The 25009-nt window shown below is 36.0% G+C and overlaps 1 long non-coding RNA gene across 1 annotated transcript in view; it reads left to right on the forward strand.

Annotated features, from left to right (window-relative positions):
• TMC3-AS1 (TMC3 antisense RNA 1) overlaps positions 1-22203 on the forward strand; it is a 118744-nt gene extending 96541 nt beyond the window's left edge. Inside the window, exon 7 of the long non-coding RNA NR_120365.1 lies at positions 22032-22203. This is a non-coding gene — a long non-coding RNA (TMC3 antisense RNA 1). The remainder of the gene's footprint in view (positions 1-22031) is intronic.
• The last annotated feature ends 2806 nt before the right edge of the window (positions 22204-25009 follow it).

Here is a 25009-nt window from a genome sequence, read left to right on the forward strand (position 1 = left end):
GAAGCAGGAAAAAGCCTTCTTTTCTCATGTGTCCTTCTAAAAAATGTGGAAAATTTTACCAGAATCTCCTGAGAGACTCTGTCCACCCCTCATCAGTCAGCACTTTGTCTCATGCCCACTCCTGAGCCAATGGAGGATGCTTTTTCCTCTCTTCTCCATGTGTCTCCCTGTGATTGGTGTGGACCCACCAGGACTCTCCCCTGGGGATGCAGGTTGAGGCTCTGTGTTTCTGTCTCATGGAGGAAGAGTGGAAACCAGAATAAAACCAGAGCTCTGAGAGCAAGGACAAAAGTAGCCTCTTACTGGGTCTGCTACAGCCATGCTGAGTTTGGAAAGCACAGTCAATCTGATGGAGGAATAACCAATAGGGAATTGTACACAAAGAGAAGACATGAGAAACTAAATGATAATACCCAATAAGTACCTGTAAATCCTCCTTAGAACCAGAAGGGATATATGTAAGTACATAAATAAAACATTAAATAATAAATCATAATATAGCTTGTCATTTGTAGACAATGCATGTTGTATAGGATCAGAGGAGTAATAGCAGGTAGGTAAACTGTCCAGAGAAAATTTTGTGGAAGAAGTGAAACTTGAAAAAGAGTTGCATTTAGATAATTCTGGAATAAATAGAACCGCTGCTTTTCTGCCTTTTCTTGAGGCTTTGAATGTTCTGGCTTGTCTCAGTACCATGCAATAAGAGCAGATACTGACCCTCTCCTTTTGTTCTTGCAATAAATCAGATCTGCTTTTACTTTGACCTGTTCCTGATATCTTCAGCTCCAGGCTCTTTGGCTCATAAATCCCTAGATTCATTGTTTATAATAAAGACTCCCCATAACTTCTCTACTGCTAGCTATTGGCTTCCCTTTCAACAACTACTCAAAGTATCTACTTGGATAACATGTTGTTCTAACTACCTTGACAGGATTTTAAAACCTCTTTTGATACAACTGGTGGTTTGAGGGAGAAGGTGTGAGCTTGCATACCTGGAAAAATTGATAGAAACTGGCTTTTTAAAATTCTGTTGCTCATACTTGGTAATTTTTCTGGCTACACTTTTTTTTTTTTTCAAAGAGACTGTAGTAAATTTATCAGCTTTACATTGTCTTTGATTTAACATAGAAATTAAATAAGTTCTCTTTGTGGACTGTATCCTTGATTATAGTGAGAATTCAATTTCCAGCAAAGAAAAGTAAATGCAGAAGTTTTACAAAGCTTTATTTCATCCCACAAGATTGTCGTCCTTGTAAAATCACGAGTGTGTTGAGTTTAAGCAAAATATAATTAGGCCTGGAAATCAAATTAAAATATGGAAGACACTCTTTCTGCCCTAAGACTTTTCCCTCTATGCAAAGGAGACAGAAAAGTTCTATAATTTATGAGAATGCTGATTAAATTACCCTTCAGCAACCATCTTTTCATAGTATTATTTTTCCTTCAAAGCCACCCAAGAGCCATAAGAGATATAATGATTGTGCAAGAAAAGTTTTTCATTAAGGACTTTAATAAAATTAAATTAAATAAAATTTGAGAATCAATACAATGATGATAGGAATCTGTGGACATGATTATTTTTGGAAAAAACTTGCTGATCTCATATGCACGAATCTTTAAGTCAGACTTTGCACCCAGAATGGGTTGAAAATTTGGTCTCCATTTTGAGTTTGGGCACCAATTAATCATCTGTACATGTGCTTTTGTGCTTGGCTAAATACGATCAGCTCACAGAAGTTTGTTAGTGCATATTTGGTTTCATTCATTTCCCACATTTTGAGAAAAGGGTGCCTTGGTTTGGTGAGATAACAGAAGAGAGAATGGTAAAAACAAGTGTGTTCGATCTCCCTGAAATGATGCTCTGCTGTTCTTCAGGCTCTGTGACCTAGAAGGCTCCTCTTCTGTCTTTTTCCTCCTGGAATGTGAGAAAATCTGGCAAAGTGGGAGCCAGAGAGGCTAGGCCACTAAAAGCCTGTGTGCGAAATGATCTGTACACAGCGAATTGACTCCACCTTTCACACATTACTACTTAAATCATGAAAGGAGCATTGCAAGGAGGAAGTATTTTAACAGCAGAAGAAAACATGCCTCCAATGTCAAGAAATTTCAGCACAATTTTGTGCAGCCAGGACCAGATGAAGGGAAAGGCCAAGCAATATGTTTTGAGGACTGAATATCTATGCTTCCCCAAATTCATATGTTGAAATCCTAACTTCCGATGTGAAGATATTTGTAGGTGGGGCTTTAAGAGATAATTAGGTCACAAGGGCAGAGCCCCCATGAGTGGGATTAGTGCTCTTAGAAAAGGGACCCAAGAGGGCTGTCTCTCTTGCCCTCTTTCCGCCATATGAGAATCCAATGAGATGGCATCATCTGCAAATCAGGAAGAGGATGCTCACCAGACACCAGATCTGCCAGCACCTTGATCTTGGACTCCTCAGCCTCTAGAACTGTAAGAAATAACGTTTGTTGTTTAAGCAACCCAGTCTATGGCAACTTGTTATAGCAGCCTGAACTAAGATAATCTATAAGGTAAGGCAAATAAGAAAAAAATCCAAACCCAAAATGACTTTAAGCGACTCCTAGAGGAACCCTGCCAACATCACTAAGTTCAGAGAGGTAAAATCAGGCAACAAGCAGAATTATCTTCGGGGGTCCATAAAAATTTCCAGGTCTGGTCGCAACTGTCATATCTTGACACAAAGGGGCACATATTGGATCCCAGAAAGTTCTATGGACTTCTTAGGGCTTGCAAAAGTTGTATAATTTTATTGATTATATAAGTAATACATGTTCATTGTTGAGATTTTGGAAATAATAATCTATCATCTGACCTCTCTGAGAAAACCATTATTAACCTTTTAACTTTCTACTTTCTGTTATTTGCATTCATACATGTTTATCCATTATCCATGTAGCATTTTTTATCATGCTTTTGAACTCCATTTTATTTACATCATGATGACTTGATAGTGACAAAAAAGATTCCAAAATATGATTTTAATGACAGCATAAATGGCTGTACCGTAATATATTTAGTCATTTTCTATCATTGGATATTTACATTATTTCTAATTTCCCTTCATTATCATTATAGTTAATGTTTTTGAACGTAAGTCTAATTCCATATTTGGTTATTTCCTTACAATATTTTCCAAGACATAGAATTGGTGAAGAAAAGGTATATTATGAAAGCTACCAAAAATAAAATTTCAAATTTCCTTTTGATTATATTGATTCATTTACATTCCACTGTTGGGATCTGAGGGGAATCCTTTAACTATCCTTAATAATCTTTATATATATATATATATATATATATATATATATGTATATGTATATGTATGTGTGTGTGTATATATATATATTCAAAAATATTTGTCAATTGGCTAGATGGTTTTCTTATAGAAAAGTTCATTATTGATTTTCGTTAAATTGGACATGTTTTGCATTGCACTGGAGTGGGACATTTATTTGGCTGCTATGGTGAATTTCTGATGCCTATTTTCTTTTTCTTTTTAGTGATAAGGTCTCGCTGTATTGCTCAGGCTGATCTCAAACTCATGGCCTCAATTGATCCTCCCACCTCAGCCTCCCAAGTAGCTGAGATTACAGGCATGAGTCACCACACTCAGTGAATTTCCAATATCTTGTGTCAATTTTTCCGTTATGAGAAGAGGAGTAGGGAGGGCAGGGGTTCTTCTATTTTGCCATAGTATTTATCTCTGGTTCCTCCCTTGACCTCAGACCCGATATTTAATTCATCATCAAATCCTAATCGTTCCATCTCAAAAATAAAAGATACAACCAGAATTCTGCCGATCCTCATCATGCTCGCTGATAAGCCCGGTCACAACTACCATCATCTTCCATCCACACCAACCCAACAGCCTCCTAACCAGCCTATTTGCTTCCACTCCATTCCTTCACCATGTAGCCCTCACAGAGCAACCAGAGTGAGCTTTGAAAAATGAACATTATTCTTTTACTTAAACTTTCAAATGGCCTTTTAATCTCTCCTCATTTTTCTCCTTATCCCCATGACCACTGGTCTTCTTTCTGCATCTTTCAAACGTGCCAAACACTATTCAGTCTCAACACTTTGACATTTGCTGATTCTTTACCCAGAAAGCTTTTCCAGATATTCTCATGAGACCTCCAAGAGACGCTTTGACCATCTGGCCAAATCAGTCCTTCTCCAGCACAATTCAATCACCTCTGTGAAGCATGTTTCAAGTTAAAATTATATACGTGTGTGGCCGTAATCCCAGCACTTTGGGAGGCCGAGGCGTGTGGATCACGAGGTCAGGAGATCGAGACCATCCTGGCTAACACAGTGAAGCCCCGTCTCTACTAAAAATACAAAAAAATTAGCAGGCGTGGTGGCGGGCGCCTGTTGTCCCAGCTACTCGGGAGGCTGAGGCAGGAGAATGGCGTGAATGTGGGGGGTGGAGTTTGCGGTGAGCGGAGATCGCGCCACTGCACTCCAGCCTGGGCGACAGAGTGAGACTCAGTCTCAAAAAAAAAAAAAAAATTATATGTGTGTGTGTGTGTGTGTGCAGTAGTTGTATTTATTTCTGTGTTTATGGGCTCTCTTCTCTTTAGCATATAAACACTGTGAGGGTATAAACTATATTTTATGTTCTAGGACACATAAGGCAGTTCTTGACACATAGTAGGCACTCAACAGCTATTAAATAAATGAATGAACAAATATCTGTCAAGGTTATAGTATAACGTTTGCCCCACACTTAGTGTTCAGCAAATGGGATCTATTATTACATTGCCATTCTCTAAGATATTATTTATCCATTATTGGAAAGAGATTAGAATCTTCCTTTATGTCCCCTTTATCTTTCCCATCCCCTATCTTTCTGCTCCCTGTCAGGCCTTTTATGCAAATAAGAAAAAAATCCTAGCAAAAATAGTATCTTGGGGTGTATTTAAATATAAAGCTTATTATAGACAGAATCCATTCTGCAACGAGAAACCCTAGTCTTTAATTGGAATGAAATTTGTGAGTTGAAAATGGCCTATAATGGCATTGCTCGACTCATTTGTTTTAGGCTGACCAAATGACAACATGGCTTATTGCACCTGCAACAAGCTGACAGATTGTTCCTGCCTTCATATGGGTTTTGAACTTTTATTTTACAGATTACACAGGAAATATAATTTTAGCATCAATTACTCTTGGTACCTTGGAATAGCCTTATGCTAAACACATATTCACATAATGTAAATGATACATTAGGGTGTGTTTGAATTCTTAATAAAGACAGACTGCAAATAAAATTTAGAGCAAAAGGAATTATGTTAACAAATGAGCAGAACTTCAATAACAGCAGGGCTTTTTGGTTTTTGTATTTGCTAAGTATAACAGCCAGGGATTTGGCAGCCTTTTGTGCCTTTACCTTTTTGGTAGTGTTATACTCTGTGTGTGTGTGTGTGTGTGTGTGTGTGTGTGTATTGGTACTATGGAGTGATATGGGTACCTTTTGTCATAAGAAGGATGCAGATGCTTCCAGGCTGGTGGATAGCAGGGATGTGACTAGAAGCAGAGTTTATACCCAGTGATTCTGAAGAAGGCAATAGAACACGTGTGAGGAAAATGTAAAGGCACCCTGCAATGTGGCAACTAACTCCATGGAAGTACTAGCTGCAGGAGCCCCACTTGGCAGTGTTTCTTAACCCTCTGATCATAGAACTTTGTTCTCTTTTTAACAAAAATGCACATGTGCACCTAAAGCAATTATCTGAATGAGATTTTAGGAGACTCTTGGGCATATGTTCTATCCGTGAACACTTCAAGATAGGAAGTTTCTTATACCTTGGTAAACATCAGTGGCTTCAGAAAGCAAAATAATTGACTGCTTGTGAGCTTTCAGATAATGAAAGAATTGAATTGGCCTTGGGAAGAAAAAAAAATACATATTCTATGTAGTGACTTGAATTTTAAATAGTAAAATTGCATTGAATTTTACTACCTACCCCAGTTTTTCAGGATTTTCAAAATAGCAAAAGACAGACCCAGTGATTTTTCAAGACCGCTGAAAAAAAAGTGGTGTTGGAAAAAGTTATCCAACACTTGGAAATAAAGCCAAAGTATGAATGCATGTCCTTTTGATGTTCAATGTCATGTGGGGGCATTGTTTTACAATCCTTTCCCTAAGGATTATTTCACTAGTAGCAGAGTACACCTGAGTTTGACTGATTATTTCCACTTGATTAAAACCCACACACTGTGAAATTACATGTTAATTTGTAGATTTCTGCCTGGTAAAAAGATTTATTCTGTTATTATTTTATCACCCTGTGAGACACTATATAGTTTTATATCTGTTAGCAAATTCATTTCAGCATTTTTGAACTAACTCTGTTGATACGGTTTAGCTGTATCCCCACCTGAATCTCATCTTGAATTGTAATCCCCATAATCCTTGCAAGTCAAGGGAGAGACCAGGTGGAGGTAATTGAATCATGGGCGTGGTTTCCTCCATGCTGTTCTCGTAACAAGTGAGTTCTCGGGAGATCTGATGTTATTATAAGTGTTTGGTAGTTTCTCTCGCATTCATTGTCCTTCTGGCCGCCTGGTGAAGAAGGTGCCTTTTTTCCCCTTTGCCTTCCACCATGATTGCAAGTTTCATGAGGCCTCCCCAGCCATGCTGAACTGTGAGTCAATTAAACCTCTTTCTTTATAAATTACCCAGTCTTGGGCAGTTCTTTGTAGCAGTGTGAAAACAGACTAATACATCCATCAATCTTCATTCCTTGAACTGTTCTTTGAATCAGTTTTACCATCCTACCGGTCCCTTATTAATTAATGAGTTGAATAAAATACTTGACATATGCTCAATCTGTATTTAGCCATGTCATGTTTTTAACTTTTTGAACGTTGTTATTTGACAGTGGCAGTGGCATTGCATCGTAAGAGTTTTCAGAATGCATTGCCGTCTGGAAGGCACAGGCCACAAATCTCAGGCACAGGAGTCCCTTCCTTATCAGAAGGGCTCTCAACGTGGTCCTGAACATTGATACAGGTAACTATGTAGGAGCAGAAGCAAGCTCACTTTCCAAGCCTGGGCTTGCAGTAAGGGATTGATGAGCCTGCTAAGAGGAAGTTGGGAACACCTTGAAAGGATAGGAGATAGTAACAGGACAGAATCAGAATTCAGAAAGGTCTTGGAATACTGAGCATTGGGTTGAAATAAACCACATGTAGCATAAGAAAGAAAAACTACGTTTGAGCATTTGTAGTTGCAATTATTTGAATCCTTTGCCTTTATATTCCCACAGAAGGAAATTCATCTCAAGTTAATAATAAAAAATATGGAGAATTTTGCACAAAAACCTTAATTGCTATGTTGTTAAGAATAATAAAAAATTGAAAGCAATCAAAATGTCAACAGTATGGGAATGATTAAGTAGCTTATAGTACAGTTTATTCATAGATTTTTCACTTGCACATTAAAATGAGTGTTTATTATGAAATATAGCACTTAGTAGAAAAGTGCACACTACGTAATTGTGCAAGCTTATTGAATTATGATAAAAATTAACAGCCAGATTACGATCACCCACACCAAAAATTATAGCATTACCATTACATTAGTTCCCTTCATGTGCTTGTTTCAAACCAAAAGCCTCTTCTTAACCCCTAAAGTAATTATTATCTTGGCTTTAATGATAATCATTTTTAAAAAAAAGTTTGTTATAGTTTTACCACCTATGTATCTCTGCACTATAGCTTTGCCTTTTAAACTTCATGTAAACGGAATTGTTGTGTTTGTCTTTTTTTACTCAACATGATTTAAACTGTATGTTTAACATTTGAAAAAATGTCAAACTATTTTTCAAAATGACAGCACCATTTTACATTCCCACCAGCAATGTGTTATGGTTCCAATTTCTCCACATTCTTGCCAACATCTGTTATTATCCATCTTTTTTATTATAGTCATGCTGGTAGGTGTGAAGTGGTATCTGAAGGTTGTTTTTGACTTTTCTTATTCCTAATGATTAGTGATGTTGAGCATATTTCAGGTGCTTGTTGGCCATTTGTATATCTTCTTATGAAAAATGTTTGCTTAAATCCTTTGTCTACTTTTTAAATGGGTTGCTTGTCTTTCTGTTGTTGGGTTGTAAGAGTTCTTTATATATTCTAAATATTAGTCCTTTATATATGACTTACAAATATTGAAATTTTCTCCACTGGATTGTCTTGGTAGTTTTGTCAAAAATTGATCTACCGTAAATGTTAGGGTATATTTTTGTATTCTCAATTCTATTCCACTGATCCATATATTTATTTTAAAGCCAGTGGCACAGTTTCGTTTATTGTACCTTTATTGTAGTAAGTTTTGAAATATGGAAGTATGAGTTTTACAAATTTGTTCTTTTAAGATTGTTTTGGCTCTTCTGGGTCCCTTGAATTTTTATATGAGTTTTACATTAAGCTTGTCAATTTGGGGGGGAAAAAAAGGCAGCTGGCATCCTGATAGAAATTGCATCGGATCTGTAGATCAATTTGTGGAGTTTTACCATCTTAACAATATTGTCTTTGAATCCATAAAAATGGGATAAATCGCATTTGGATAAGCCCTTTTATATGTTGCTATATTCAATCTGAAAGTTGTTGTAGAAGATTTTTCATTGGTATACATAGGGGTATTGGTCTATAATTTTCTCTTGTTGTGATACCTGTCTAGAGTAATACTGGCCTTAGAAAATGAGAAGTGTTTCTTTTTCTTCTATTTTTTGGAAGAGTTTGAGAAGGATTGATGTTAATTCTTCTTTAACTTTTGTTAGCAATCACTGAACAAGCATCTAGTCTTTTCTTTATGGGGGTTTTCTTTTTTCTTTTTCTTTTTTTGTTTAAGCAATATCCCTGTCATGGCACTTTGTGGGAATTTTTAATACTACTAATTCAAACTCTTTGCCTGTAATAGATTTATTAACATTTTCTATTTATTCTTGAGTCAGTATTGGAAGTTTTATCTTTCTGGAAATGTGTCAGTTTCTTCTCAATGATCTAATTTGTTGTTATATAATTGGTCGTAGTATTTTCTTATAATCCTTTTTGTTTCTGTAAGATATGTAGTAATGTCCACTTTTTTTTCCTGACTTTAGTATTTTGAGTCTTCTTTCTTTTATTCTTGCTCAGTGTAGCTATAGGATAGTCAGTTTTCCCAATCTTTCCAAAAAGCCACTTTTGGTTTTATTGATTTTCTCTATTGTTTTTCTATTTTTTATTTCATTTATATCCATTATAATGTTTCTCATTTCCTTTCTTCTGCTAGTGAAGTATTTAATTCATTTACATGTAATTTAATTACTGATGAGGTATGATTTACATCTTCCATCTTTCTGTTTTCTATATTTCTTCTGAGTTTTTTCTCTTTGTTGTTGCTTTTGTTGTGCCTCTGTTCTTTTATTACTGCCTTCTTTTGTGTTGAGTAGAGATTTTCTAGTGTCCCATTTTAGTTCACTTGTTTTTTTTTCAGTATATATTCTTTTGAATTTTTTTTGGTAGTTGCCCTGGGAAATTATAATTAATATCTAAACTTGTAATAATCTAGTTTAGATTAATACCAACTGAATTTTAATAGTCTATACAACTTTGCTCCTATACAGCTCTATTCTTTCCCACTCTTATGCTATTATTGCCATAAAATTACATTTTAATATATTGTATGCCCATCAACACAAATTTATTATCTATTTATGCAGTTATCACTTAGGGAGAAAAAAAAGAAGTGTTATAACCAAAAATATATTTGTGCAGTATATTATATTTACCTATGTAGTTACCTTTACTGATGCTATTTATTGCTTCATAGTATTCCGTTATAATTTTTAAGTTACTGCTCAGTAGTGTCCTTTTATTTTGTCCAGAAGAGCCTCCTGTAGTTTTTCTTATAGAGACGGTTTGCTAATGACCAGTTGCGTCAACTTTTATCTGGGAATTCCTTAATTTCTGTTAACTTTTAAAGATTAGTTTTGCTGGATATAAAATTTGGGGTTGCCAGACTTTTTTTTCTTTCAGCACTTTAAATATATCATCTTACTGCTTTCTAGCCTCTGTGATTGCTAATGAAAAACTGGATGTTAATCATATTGAGAATAATTTATGCATGATAAGTAGCTTCTCTCTGCTTTCAAAAATCCCTTCATCTTTGATTTTTGACAGTTTGACTATGATGTACATAGGTATGGATCACTTACAGTGTATCCTATTGGAGTGTGTTGAGCTCCTTTCATGTCTAAATAAATGTTTTTTTAAATTAAATTTGTTAATTTTTGGCCATTCTTTTTTTTTAAATATTCTTTCTGCCCATTTCTCATTCTCCTCTCCTTCTAGAATTCCATTATGCATATGTTGGCACAATTAATGATGTCCCATAGATCTCTGAGGCTCTGGGTTTTTTTTTTTTTTTTTCCATTTTCTTTCTCTCTCTTAGATTGGCTAATCTTAATTGACCTATCTTCAAGTTTGCTAATTCTTTCTTCTGCTTACTCAAATACAATGTTGAGTACCCACAGAAGTTTTTTCATTTCAATTATTGTACTTTTCAACTCCAGAATTTATATTTGGTTTTTTAAAAATCATTTCATTTCTTTGTTGATATTATGTAGTTGGTGAGACATTATTCTCATCGTTTCCTTTGTTTCTTTAGACATAGTTTTCTCTAATTTTTTTTCTGGTTGTTTTAATTCATAGTCTTTATTATTTTGCATAGTTTTTAGGTTTAGAGAAAAGTTGAGTGGAAAGTACATATAGTTCATATATATAACTTCACATCCTTCCCCAGGTTTACCTATTATTAGTGTCTTGTATTAGTGTGGTACATTTGTTACAATTGATTAAGTAATATTGATACACTATTAATAACAAAAGTTCATGGTTTGCATTAGGGTTTACTCTTTTTGTTGGACATGTATTCACAATTATAGTCTCCTGCAGAATAGTTTCACTGTCTGAAAATTCCCCTCTGCTGCACTGATTCATTTCTCCCTTTCCCCAAACTTCTGACAACAGTTGATCTTTTAAAAGACTCCATAGCTTTGCCTTTTCCAGAATGTCATATAGTTGGAATCATACAGTATGTAGTGTTTACAGCGTAGCTTCCTTCGCTTAGCAATATATATTTAAGATTCCTTCATGAGTTCTCATAGATTGATAGCTCATTTGTTTTTGTTACTGAATAATATTTCATTGTATGAATATGCCACAGTTTTGTGTTTTTTAAATCCATTCACCTATTCTTGGTTGCTTCCAAGTTTTGTAAATTATGAATACAGCTGCTGTAAACATTTGTGTGCAAGTTCTGTGTGAATATAAAATTTCAACTTCTTTGGGTCAATACAAAAGAACACAATTTCTGGATTATATGGCAAGAGTATGTTTAGTTTTGTGAGGAACTGCCGATCTGTCTTCTAAAGTGGCTGTGTCATTTTGCATTCCCACTAGCAATGAATCCAAGTTCCTATTGCTCCACACCCTCATCGGTATTTGGTGTTGACAGTGTTCTGGACTTTGGCCATTCTGATAGGTGTGTAGTGATAATTTATTGTTGTTTTAATTTATAATTCTCTAATGACATGTGATGTTGAACATCTTTTCATATGCCTATTTGTCACATGTATATCTTCTTCAATGAAGTTTTAAATTAAAACCTCATTGCCTATTTTTAAATTAGATAGTTACTATCTTATTGTTTTGAGAGCTTTTGCATATTTTGGATACCAATTACATATCAGATATATATTTTGCAATTACTTTTCCAGTCTATGGCTTGTCTTTTTATTCTTCTAACAGTGTTAGTGTAACAGAGCAAAAGTTTTTAGTTTTAGTAGAGTCTAACTTAACAATTTTTTTCTTTTGTTGATCATACATTTGGTGTCCTCTAGTTTTTGAACATATTTAAAACAATTGATTTAAAGTCTTTTTTTAGTAAGTCCAACATCTTGGCTTCCTCAGGAACAATTTGTATTGACTGTTTTTCTTCTATGTGTGGCTCATACTTTGTTTCTTTGCCTGTCTCATCATTTTTTGTTGTTGAAACTGGAAATTTTCAATAATATAAAAGTGGCTACCCTGGAAAATAGATTCTCCCTCTCTTTAGGGTTTGTTGTCATTGCTCTTTATTATTGTTGTTTTTGTTGCTGCTTGTGTTCTTAGTGACTTACCTGAACTAATTCTATGCCATACGTGTTCTTTGCCGTGTATGACCCCTGAAGTTTCTGGTTGGTTAATTTAGTGACCAGGTAATGACTGGACAGAGATTTCACTAAAATACTGGAACCAAAAAGTCTCCTTGTGTTTGCCAAGGACTCTGTGTACATGTCAGGACATGCATTTAACATACATCCATTTCCTTTATCACTCTGTCTTAGCATTTCTGTCCCTACTTATGCAGAGCCTCATGGTCAGCCAGGTGTGAGAGCTTAAGGCCTTCTTAGATTTTTCCCTACACATGTGTGTGACCTTCTAGATTCCTATGAATATTTCAGAATTTTTCAAAGCCTCTGAAAAACATCTAACTCCCCAGGTTTTTCTTTCAAAGTTTTTGGTCAACTTGTTTGGACCAATTGTTATTGCCACAGTAATGCTGAACAATCGCTGCTGATTTTTGTTTTCTTTTTGACAAATGCCCCTGGGCAAAAGCCTGTTCACACTGGGTAATCTCCAAGTCTATTCACTTAAAGACGAGCCTTGTGTGTATGGTTTTCTAGGGAACTACCAGACAAGTCAAACAGTGATAAGTCAAACAAGTCAAACAGTGACAATTCTCTGAGAATGAGGCTTTGAAAGAGCTCCAACCCTGTCTGGCACCTTTAATGGCATTGTATTGTGGGCTGTTGATTTTTAAGGGTACCATGGAGTTGAGAAGGTAATGGAAATAAGGCAAGTTAAAATGTCACAACACCCATTCTTCTTGCCACTTTTTTTTTCTTGAATAAACAATCGCCTTGTTGCAAGCTTTTGGTTAATTTATAGAGTTTTGAAAAAGTCAGTTTTGGCTATTTTTGCCAATGTTCTCCTCGATTTTATGGAAAGGATTTTCAGAGGTTCTCAGTTCACCATTCCATTTATGTCTTAATATGGTTTTAAGAGTCATCAATGTTATTGGTTGGTAGCAATCTCAATATTCTGGCCCAATGAATGATCCTCCTTTATGTGGGAACCTTCCTGTATCCTGCAACTAAGCACCTAGTTATGCAGAAAAATTCCTCCTGTCTGACCAATCATATTAATTGAATCCATGCAGACAGTGAATGAGGTGGTGGATGTCCTATCCAGGTAATTCCCAATTCATAACCTTAATAACACTGACAATGTTGTATGACTCCTTAAAAAACTGGCACAAACAATACCATGTTCATATTGCTTCATCATAAAAGGTCATGGTACATGTTACTGAGACGGTATCTGAGCATGGGATTACTTGGGAACTTTCCCGTTTTCTCCCAAATTCTAGATCATATGAGTTGATGAAGCAGTTTCATCATGCTGATCATTCAATACTCACTACAAGCCACCTGACTGCCATAAAAAGAGAAATAATATGGGTGTTACAGGTAGCTTTGTCCCTGTTCTTCAATCTTTGGTAATATGTACCCAGACCTTCTCTTCTGTAGGAATTCTGTAATGAGAGCTTAAGTCCCTGGGGAAGCCGGTGAACAATCTAGTTTTGGAATATCCAACTTTTCTTAGGATTCAAGTCAATGGATTATACACTGGTGTCTGCCACTTGCAAGCCCCTTTGAACCCTAATGTCCTCATTTATAAAACATGGAGAATAAGACCCATCACACGGCTTGTGGTGAAGATTAAGTGGGTAACATTTGTAAAAGATGTGAAAGCTATTCTAACATAAGGGCTTATAATGATGACCTAAAAATCCGTAAATCTGGGTGCCAAAACAATATTGCTGCCAGAAGTCACCGACTTCTACCATGCCTGGTGCATACCTCACAAGATTCTGATTTAATTGGCCTTGGATGTGTCCTGAGAATCTGAGATTTTTGAAAAGCTCCCCAGGTGATTCTATCATGTAGTTAGGGTAGCTTTATCCTGTTAAGAATAGTTAAAAGAGAAGAAAACTTCAAAATGATAGCTTTCAGATCTCTGTTTATCTCCATGGCTGCAATAGACAGCTTGGGTTTTGCTTCCAGAAGGCTTAAAAAAAGAAACAAAAATCAGTGAATGTGTGAAAATGGTTCTTGAAATAACTCTTAGAGATGCTTGAATCAACACAAGGGAGAACATAGATGAAAAGACCAGCATGATCCTTCCACTGTTCTGGATTTTCTCTGCTGAAAACTAAATCACCATCTAACCTAGATAAAGCTTTTTTTTTTTTAATTCCTTTTCGGGGTTATATTTCCTGTAGCAATTTCTCTCACTGTTGTTAAATACATCAGCAATAACAAACGTGTGAACATGTTTCACTAATGCAAAAGAGGAGTATGTTTGTGGTGATTACTGAAGACAATATGTGTCCTACACATGGACGATGCAGCTACCTGTACCTCGCCTGTCCCCCAATGAATCTAAGATATTTCTTTATTCCCTTCTCCCTTTGACTCCCTCTGATTCATCTCTGCAGTGTCCTGACCTAACAGTGTAACCTCATAACTGGTAAAGTGAATTTGAGACTAGACAATTCTTCCTCATTATTTTCTTTCTTTCTATTCAGAAAAAAAAATATGGAAGCCATGAAGTTTGGGTTCACACTATTTAAGGATGGATGCATGGATGGATGGATGGATGCCACCTAGGATAATCTCATTCTAAAAAATAAAAAACCAATATACTTTTTTTTTCTACACTTGTTGTCAGTAAATGGAGGAGAAAATAAGGGTCTTCTCCAACACTTGGATATAAGCTAGTAAAAGCCACACATACCAATTATAATTAGGTATCTGAGGGATCAAGTCTGAGGGATTGCCTGTGACCATATAATTGGAATTTGGGAAACACCACAACTCTAATCAGGTTAATTCTAGAACAATCTCAAGGAGGGAGGGCTTGAAAATGATTGTATTTAATTTAAAGGTTCATAAATACCACATTTTTATTTTCAAGTCTATCTCTTAGAGAATTAAAATCATCTTCTTTGTCCCATTCAGTTCCCTTTCTTGAATTGTTTTTTGCCTGATAGTGTATTGTTGGCCTTATCCTTTATTTTGCTGTATTTTATTTTTGATTTATACTTGCTTGTAATAGCTTTCCCAATTCATTTATTTGAAAATTTCTATACGTTTAAAAAATTATTTTAAAAGAAGTGAAAATTAGTAATTTCTTTTTTTTTAACTTTGTATCCAACCTCCCTATATTCTCCCTCATCCTGCTCCCTGCTCCTTCCCACTCAAAAATACCTGGGAGTATGACTGGAGTTGCGTTAAATTGATAGATTTATCTTTTTAAAAGAACAATAAGAATTGCTGAAGTCAGGCAGGTACCAGCCTTCACTGCTAAAGATGGGGCACAGTGGTTTTTAACACCTGATATTTACACCGTTGCCTCAGGTTATGGGGATGACTGAACACCAACACCAGACAGATGAGGTTGACGGTGATTTACTAATCACCCATACTCGCAGCACAGGGGGCTGGGGGAAAGGGCCACAGGCCACACAGGGCCACGTAGGTGTTCGGCTTAGGAAGAGGGTGAACAAGCAGGGGCTGCAGGAGGCAGGGGCTGCAGGAGGTAGGCTTTGTAGTATCAGGAGCCTGGTGCTGTCTGCTGCCCGACGGAGGATGTGATTTTTTTGTTGAAAATTCCGCAGGCTGTCAGGGAACCAAAACCTGCCTCTCAGGTATAAGTAGGAACTGTGCCTGGTCCTCCTGAAAAGGAGGGTTATTTGGCTAGGCGACCTTATCTATGGGAGCAAAATGGGGAGGAGAACTTGTGGTGAGGCCACTTAAGGCTCTCCCAGTTTTCCCCAGGTGTGAAGGCAGTACATAATATTGGACCTTAATTTTGAGCTGTGTACACTGACACTGGTCATTCGCATCTTTTTTTTTTTTTTTTTTTTTTTTTTTTTTTTTGTGACAGACTCTCGCTCTGTCCCCAGGCTGGAGTGCAGTGACGAGATCTCGGCTCACTGCAAGCTCCGCCTCCCGGGTTCACGCCATTCTCCTGCCTCAGCCTCCCGAGAAGCTGGGACTACAGGCGCCCACCACCACGCCTGGCTAATTTTTTTTGTATTTTTACTAGAGACGGGGTTTCACCGTGTTAGCCAGGATGGTCTCGATCTCCTGACCTCGTGATCCGCCTGCCTCGGCCTCCCAAAGTGCTGGGATTACAGGCGTGAGCCACCGCGCCCGGCCGGTCATTTGCATCTTTTTCACTAAATTCCCTAATGCTGCAGCTCCTTTGTCCTTGTTGCAGAAGCCTCTAGTGCACATGGAAGCTATGTGCTGCACCAGACACCAGGTGCAGGCTTTGCTCAAAGCTCCAGTGCTGGTTAATGCTCCCATGGAATTCTGAATGTGACTCCAAGCCGTTATACACTTAAAGGAGTACATCCTATGGAAATGAGACTGTAGTCTCGTTTGTCTTAGATACTCTCATTGTATGGGAAGAACATTTGACCCATCCCTCATTTTCCTTTCCCAGAAAAATGACTCAGGGAAGGCATGGGCAAGAATCTGATCTTTTTACCCTACCGTTTTCTACTCGGAAGTAAAAAGGAAGAGGACTGTATTTCTTCTTCTTGCCTGTTCTACGTTCTAGTGGGTATCGTTAAAATTATAAAATCAGACCAATAGGTTAATAAAATGTACAAATTTTAAATTTTAGAAAATTATATCTCATGACAAACGCAGGCTTTTAAAAACCTGCATATTGCTAAAGACTCAAAAATCCTATTCTGAATTCTATTTCATAAACTGCATATTTATTCCTCCTTCTTCTTTGTGCCACAATCCCAAACCACCACAGGAGAAAAGGAGGAAGTCACATAAAAGGAAACACAACAGGGATAAGCATATTAACACATTTAAATATTGATATGTATAATATATTCTCATATGTATGAGCAGAAAATCCAAAAGAATATAGACCAAATTGTTAACAGTGCTTGTATCTGTGGAAGAGAAACAGAAGGGGATGGAGGAACATTCATTTTTAACTGTATCTAGCATTATGTTATCTGGATATTTTAAGAACAGTGCTCGTTTCTTCTATGTAAATAATCATCTAAAATATAAACATTTAGCTTAAATTTTTATCATGTTCTTTGATTTCTGTCTTGAATCCATCCTTGCTCCTTCCTTTGGTTGATGACTATAGTTTTATGGTTTCCTTTGATTTGCCTTTGGTTCACGGTATTTATTTTTATTGATCCTGTTCAGAGATTATGTGCTTTGAATTCTGTAAGTGACTGAAGTGGAATCACATTATTTGGGTATTTAACTTAGGCAAATTCAACTATGAGTCTGGAGAGAGAGAGTGAGAGAGAATGAATTCTTTTATTTTCTTACATGTCTTCCTAAGAACTTTTACTTAATCCCCAAAAGGCAAAGAAAGCTATCACGTGAAACACACAAAACAATGAAATTAAAAAATCATGTTTTTGGCTGGGCACGGTGGCTCACGCTTGTAATCCCAACACTTCGGGAGGCAGAGGCGGTTGAATCTTGAGGTCAAGAGTTCGAGACCAGCCTGGCCAACACAGTGAAACCCTGTCTTTACTAAAAATACAAAAATTAGCTGGGTGTGGTGATGGGCGCCTGTAACCCCAGCTACTCGGGAGGCTGAGGCAGGAGAATCACTTGAACCCAGGAGACAGAGGTTGCAGTGAGCCAAGATCGAGCCACTGCACTCCAGCCTGGGCAACAGAGCTAGACTCCGTCTCAAAAAAAAAAAAAAAATCACGTTTCTGAACTTCAGGTGCTTAAGTTATGGTAACTTAAGGTGACTTACTATTTTTTTTCCAGGGCAAATTTAACTATACACTTTTCCTTTTTTAACCTTTTGCACTAATTTCAGATGCTCACCCCAGCATCTGAGACAATTTCTTGTAATCCTGAAGGCTTCAAAAGCCTTTTTAAAACCTGTTTCTCTCATTTTTCAAGCCAAGGCTGAGGTGTAATCTTTCCTACCTCATCTATGTGAGGCACACATTTAGAAAACAAAGGAATGATGGGGCTAGGTTCAGAGGGCCCGGCAGAGGATGTATTGGACCTTTGCATATCTGCCTCTGTGTGTCTGGACAAAGATGCTCCTTTTTCAAGGGAAGATGATACACATGGTCTTCACTAAGGCTCCCCAGTATCCTCAGGGAAATAGTAATTGTGCTGGCCTGTGTGCCCCACAACATCTCTTATTTACTTCAGATCTAGCACGAAAATATTGTATTGTAGTTTACTACATAGATTCATGCCTCAGCCTTTTTGAGAGCAGAGAGTTAATATTTTATGTACTATCTTTAAATTCAACTCTAAACAGTGCTTTGAATGTTAGGGGATTGGAAGAATATTTCTGAATAAGGGAGTTATATACTGAATAAATAAGTAAGTAAATTAATGACAGGAAGTGAATGACACTCTTTTATCAAGTCTAAGGTGCAAATATTTTCACATTCTGAATTCTTGGAAATCAGGATGCATTTCAGAATCTATGACACATCATGGTTTATTTAGACATTTTTCTTATTTCTTAATGGCCTATAAAACAATGATACAACTTATAATTGAAGACATCTTAGATTTGGTAAAATACTACAGACTTTGGTGTGTGATAATCATTCTCAAATTAGTCCTTTTAGATAGATATCATGTTTAACATGGGCGTGTATCCCATTTTCGTCTCAAATAAGCAGCTAATTACAAGCATATTCACTCAAAGAAGAACTGATTTTCAATTTAGACCTGCCTTTCTGAAATTTGTAGACTTTCTCTTGTATGGGATTACAGCATTCTCTTTTCCAAAATAATTTTTTTCTGTTTTTAAAATTAATACATTTTTATTGCTCAAAACAAGACAAAGAACAACAAAACAAAAAAGTCTAAAGGTGAAAACACAAGACTCACCATTTTGTTTATCTTCTTCCAGATACCTGTGTATACATGTATTATGCTGCCTGATATTTAAAAAATAAGATTATATTGTGCATGCTATTGTGCTATACAGATGTATATAGTGTATTGTTTTTATAATAAAAAATAGCAATGAATTATTATCCATCAGTAGAGTGATTACATCAATTATGATACAGTGGAAACTAAGGGGGCCATTAACAGTGATGACTTAGAGCAGCATTGAGCCCATTATAATGTTTCAGGCATTACATTAAGTGATTTATATGTATCACGTCTTTCAATTCTTAGAGCAATTTTATTTTATTTCCATTTTTTGGATGGGGACCTGGACCCTTTCTTCTGTATCAGTAATTCTCAGTGAGGGTGATTGGCAAAAAGTAACCTGGAATGTGAATTTTACTTGTTTATCCGAAGCAGAGCAGGGAGCAAGGAGGCCAGAGAAGTGCTACAAAGAAGAATCAGACTTCACAAGATGAGGGAGGTTGTTTTTCTCAAAACAAAGAGATGAAAATGTAAGCATAAGCAAGGTTACGACCGGCAAATAGAAATTAATTAAGTGAACGCTGAGTTCCTTTTATGTTGCAGTTAAAAACAAACATCTCTCCTAACTTCTTCTTGGCTATCTGATTATTTGAGTTCAGAATTTGAAGGCAGACAAACCTGAGTTCAAACCCAAGCTTGGCTTGCTGTTCATCTCCTTGGGACCTTGGCAAAGTCACATCAATTTGTAATTTTGCATCTACCAATTGAAGATGTGTCTCCTGGGGGATACTAAAAGGGTGACATGATTTCTCGTGCAGTGTCCAGTTCAATGCCCATCCCCTAATCGTTCCTGTAATACTGATTTTTAATTAAAAATTTTCCAAAGCATACACATATTCATAGCAGCATTGTTCACAGGATCCAAAAGGTGGACGCAGCCCAACTGTTCAGAGATGACTAAAGAAATATAATATAGACATATGATAGAATATTACTCAGTCATGAAAAGGAAGGAAATTCTGACACAGGCTACAACATAAATACCTTGAGTACACTATGCTAAGTGCAATAAGCCAGCCACAGAAGACAAATACTTATGATTTCACTTACGTGAGGTACCTAGAGTAGTCAAATTCATAGAGACAGAAAGTGGAATAGTGGTTGCTAGTTGCTTGGGAGAGGAAGGAATAGGGAGTTGTTTAATGGATGTGAAGTTTCAGTTTTGCGAGATGGAAAGAGTTCTGGAGATTGGTTCCACAACAATGTAAATGTATTTAACAGTATGAACTATACACTTAAAAATGGTTAAGATGGTCAATTTTTTGTTATGTGTATTTTACCACAATTAAAAGGAAAAAAATTACAAAACAGTTGAGACATTTTACATATATAAAAAAGCTATCTTATTATGTGTATGTTAATGAGATAAACCATAGTAGGCACATCTCTTTTTTTTTTTTCGTCTTTTATGCATCACCAATTGATAAAGGTGTGATGTCTCGCACTACTATTGTGGCTTTATCAATTTCTATTTATTTTCCTAGTACTTTATGTTATATAGTTCAATACCATTTTATTTTGTCGGTAGAGGTGTATAACTGTCTTCTCTTTGTTGTGTTTGTGTCTTTGACTCTGCCACCTGTCAAACGTTTTTGTGCTTGCCTGCTATATCTTTGCCTACTGTTTTCCTTTTAATTCTATGATTTTGCTTTAATATACCTTTTAAAATATATATAGGTCAAATTTATTTTCTTGCCTACACAGAGAGTTTTGTCATCTGATAGTTTTCATACTTACATGTGTGTTTTCAGAATTGACGTGTTTTGTCCTTTTTAATACTTACTGGTTTTGATGCTTAATTACTCTTGTCTCTGCCCTCTTGCTAATGGGTTAGGTTATTTTTTCTTTCAACACTTTAATGATTTTGAAAAATTGTATCTCCGTTTATTCTCCAAGTGGTTACTAAAATGTAGCCATTATTCCATTAGGGGTGGCAAATTGCTGAAATTCTTTCTTTATTAGTTAAAATAATTCTATGAAGGAAATTTTCTCTTATCAAGTATTTGTTCTGAGGCAAAGTTTGTATAACAAAGGATGAATGCTTGTATCTTTCCTTGACTCACCCATTTTCATAATAATGAGTTAGTTCCCTAGCAGCCTCCAAAGATGAACAAGACCTTTTTAAGAGTCTCATGATCTACTGACTGGGTTAGCCTGGCCCAATACCTTTCTAAAGTGTTATTATGAACAGATGGATTTAAATCTATTTGGTGTGTTTCAGTCTATTGCACTTATTATTTATATTGTTGCTCAACTTTTCCCATCTTTGTCTGGTAGGAGGCACTTCAGATTGGCTTCTGAGTTTTTCTAATATGATCTTGTTTTCTGGGATTGTTTGGAGAGTGGCAGATAAGATGTTGAAGAGATAGGAAGGTGGGCAAGACCACTGTGTCATGGCTAATTGTTTCGATGTCATCCTGAGGGCAATGGGAAGCCACAGAAGAGATTTAAGCAAGGGCTGACTTGCAGCAGAACCAGAGTGGAATTGCAGGTGGATTTTGCAGAACTCCATCACCAAAATAGAGTCTAGGACACATTATCAGATCCCACAAACCTGTGCAGTTTGGACAAAGACAGAGTACATTTTTATTAACTTTCTAAGCATCTCCTAACAAAATGGAAACTTGAAAGGTGCACATGTTCTTTTACCAACTGTTATCTAGGGCAGTGCCACTCAAAGTGGGGTCTGTGAGCCAGAGTGTCTCTGTGAACTACATGTCACCAATGTGCCCTGTGATAAATTTAGAAATGGAGAGTGTTAGAACTTTTTTAGAATCCGACACAATGAATAATTTTATGTCTATTTCAACTAAAATTTTTAAAGGGTTTGTTTCATACTTTTAAATTTCATTTTTCTAATAATTTACTTTTGTTATGTTTTTTTCGAAATAATTGGTCAGTGATTAATGGGGGGGAAATTCTGCTTTCTTCTACAGACTTTGAGAAGCACCAGTGTGGAAGACATTCTAATATCTCCTGACTGTACCAAATTGGGAGCCTATAGTTAATTGTGTAGTTAATTGTATTCCAAAATACTCATTTGGAAGTCATTTGGTAAGAAATTCACACATAAAAAAAGGTTATGCTAGCAAATAACAGATGAAATGTAAAAGCAATTATCTTTGCAATGTAGCATGCATTTATAGTCATTGTTAAGTAATTCTGTGTCTTAGATTACAAACTTGAAATTGCAGAAGAGCAAAATGCCACATATGTGATGCCCGGATCGTATCCATTCCACAAACACAATTCAACCTGCTTGTTTTTATACACACACATGGAAAATGTATTCCACTAGCATAAATTATGTATGCAGATGAAAACGTGTATTCACTCTTCTTAATAGCCCTTATAAATCTGATACACCCCTGCCTGAAATGTTTCCAAGAAATGCATGTGGTAGAAAACATAATTAATCAGGGTCCATTTTTGTCAACCTCCAGGAGTCAGGGCAAAGCCAAGTCATTGATTTTGCTGCATTTGAAAGGCTGTTGTTTGGTATGTCAGCCTTGTTAGTATAGTTGAAAGTACCTATTAAGAGGCTAGAAGCTTGGCTAGCTCTAGAAAAAAATTAGAAGATTTAGTAGTGCTGGTATAGAGTTGTCAGACTGCCTATGATGAAAAAACTCACTTTGGGGAACCGCCATTTAAGTTTGTCCCAATTTCTCCTCTGAAAATACGTTCAACAACACACAGATGGTGAAGGCTCAGGAAGAGTGTGCCCATGACACATTCTGATTTCCTTATCCACCAGAGAGAGAAAATGCACTGGAGAGATTTTACTCTCCAAAAAATTAAATTTCATATAATTATGTGAAGACTAAATATATTAATGGAATTAAGTATGGTACTTTTTCCAAAGTTTACAGAATACTATAGTGTTCTTAGGAAAAACACAGCACATCACTCCTTCAGCAGGAGATGAAGTCTCTTATCCCCACAGAGAGCTCAGAAAGCATCTATTAGAAGGACACTGGATCTAATGGTCTAAGCCACATGCTCTCTCCTATTTAGAAAGACTACATGATAAATCAATGTACACATTCATTATATCATGATAAAAACTCAGTGAGGTGGCTTTATCATGCATAAGCCAAACCACCAATTGCATGATTCTTTTATTTTCCCTTTTCAATCCCCTATTATATGATCATAGTACTGCCTGTTCCACATGCATTATCTCATTAAATTACACAATGACCTAGAGTTTCAAACTGGATCCTTTCTGTAACAAATATCAGACACTCAATTGGCTTACAAAATAAGGATTTTATTGGTTTTCCTACTAGGAATCCCAAGGTCGAGTGGGTTTTAGGATTGGTATGAACAAACCTCCACTTACCTCTGTCTTAGCACTTCTTGTCTTTATCCAAAGGTTGAGTTTCCTCATTGTTTCAAGACAGCTATTAAAATGGATAAGGTGCCTTGACTTCTTTAAGCAGAGACAGAAGGATGACCCTCTCATCCCTTTCAAGAATGAGAAATTTTCTTAAAATATTTTTGGCCAGAATTGAATCACTCACTCCATTTTTGAACAAATAATTGGAAAAAGGGATGGAGTTACTATAAAAATGCCTTTGACAAGCATAATTTTTAAATGCTTTTTGGGTTCAAAGATTACATTAAGTAAATACAATTTATGATAAGAAACACACAGACACATATTCACATACATACCAACCAAACAATACTTATGTTTGCTGTATTCTCTTTCCTTCCTTTTTATTCTATTATAACCAAATTAGTTTAGATGAATTATGGTTATACACATTCTGGTTTATACACGTTCTGGTTTAATAACTCCCATTTTTAAATGCAGCTTTTCTTTGTAGACTAGATACTGAAAACAACCAAAAGTCAGTAGGCTAAACATCTGGAAACAGATTGATATTTGAGAGTATTGAATAGTTGTAACTGAAGCCATAGGAGTGAATTATTCATCAAAAGTGCATAAAGATAATAAGCTTTTAAAACTATAAAAGTATATTACATGCAACTATTAAATTTGAAAATATAATGAAAATATAAAAATTTTAAAAAGAATCAAAATCAATAACTTCCCAAAACAGAAAGCACCATGCCTAGATGGATTCACTGGTGAATTCTACCAAAAATTTAAGGAAAGAATGATACCAATTGTCTATAATCTCTTTCAGAGGATAGAAATAGAGGGAATACTGTCTAAGTCATTCTATGAGATAGGCATTATCCGAATGGCAAAACCAGACAAAGATATTACAAGAAAAACAAAAATCTATAGACCAATATGTCTCATGAACGTATTTGCAAAAATCCTTCATAAAATATCAATTTGAATTCAACAACATATAAGATGAGTTATACATCATGACCAAGTGAGATTTATTGCAGGTATGCAGGCTGGTTCAACTTTCAAAAATTATTTAATGTAATCCATCATATCAACAGGCTAAAAATGAAAAATCACATAATCATATTAACAGATGTGAAAAAAGCATTTGACAAAATCCAACACCAATTCATGATTTAAAAAAACACCTTTTGATAAACTAGAAAGAGGGAAATCTCCTGAACTTGAAAAAGAATTTCTACAAAAACTGCAACCCACTAATGATAAGAAACTCAAAGCTTTCCTGCTAAGATCAAGAAATATGCAAAGATGTCTCCTCTCACCTTTGCTTTCAACATTGTACTGGAAGTACCAGCTAATGCAATAAGACAAGGAAATGAAATAAAAGACCTATAAATTGGGAAAGAAAAGAAAAAGACAACTGGCAGAAAAGCAGAAAATTGTCTTTTCTGCAGAAAATTGTCTTTTCCACATAGATGATCATGTCATCTATGTGGAAAATCCAAAAGAATTGTCCAAAAAAACCTCTTAAAACTAGTAAGTGATTATAGCAAGCTTGAAGGATGCAAGGTTTATATACAAAAG

This window comes from Homo sapiens, chromosome 15, assembly GCF_000001405.40.
Source record: "Homo sapiens chromosome 15, GRCh38.p14 Primary Assembly".
Classification (NCBI taxonomy): Eukaryota; Metazoa; Chordata; class Mammalia; order Primates; family Hominidae; genus Homo; species Homo sapiens.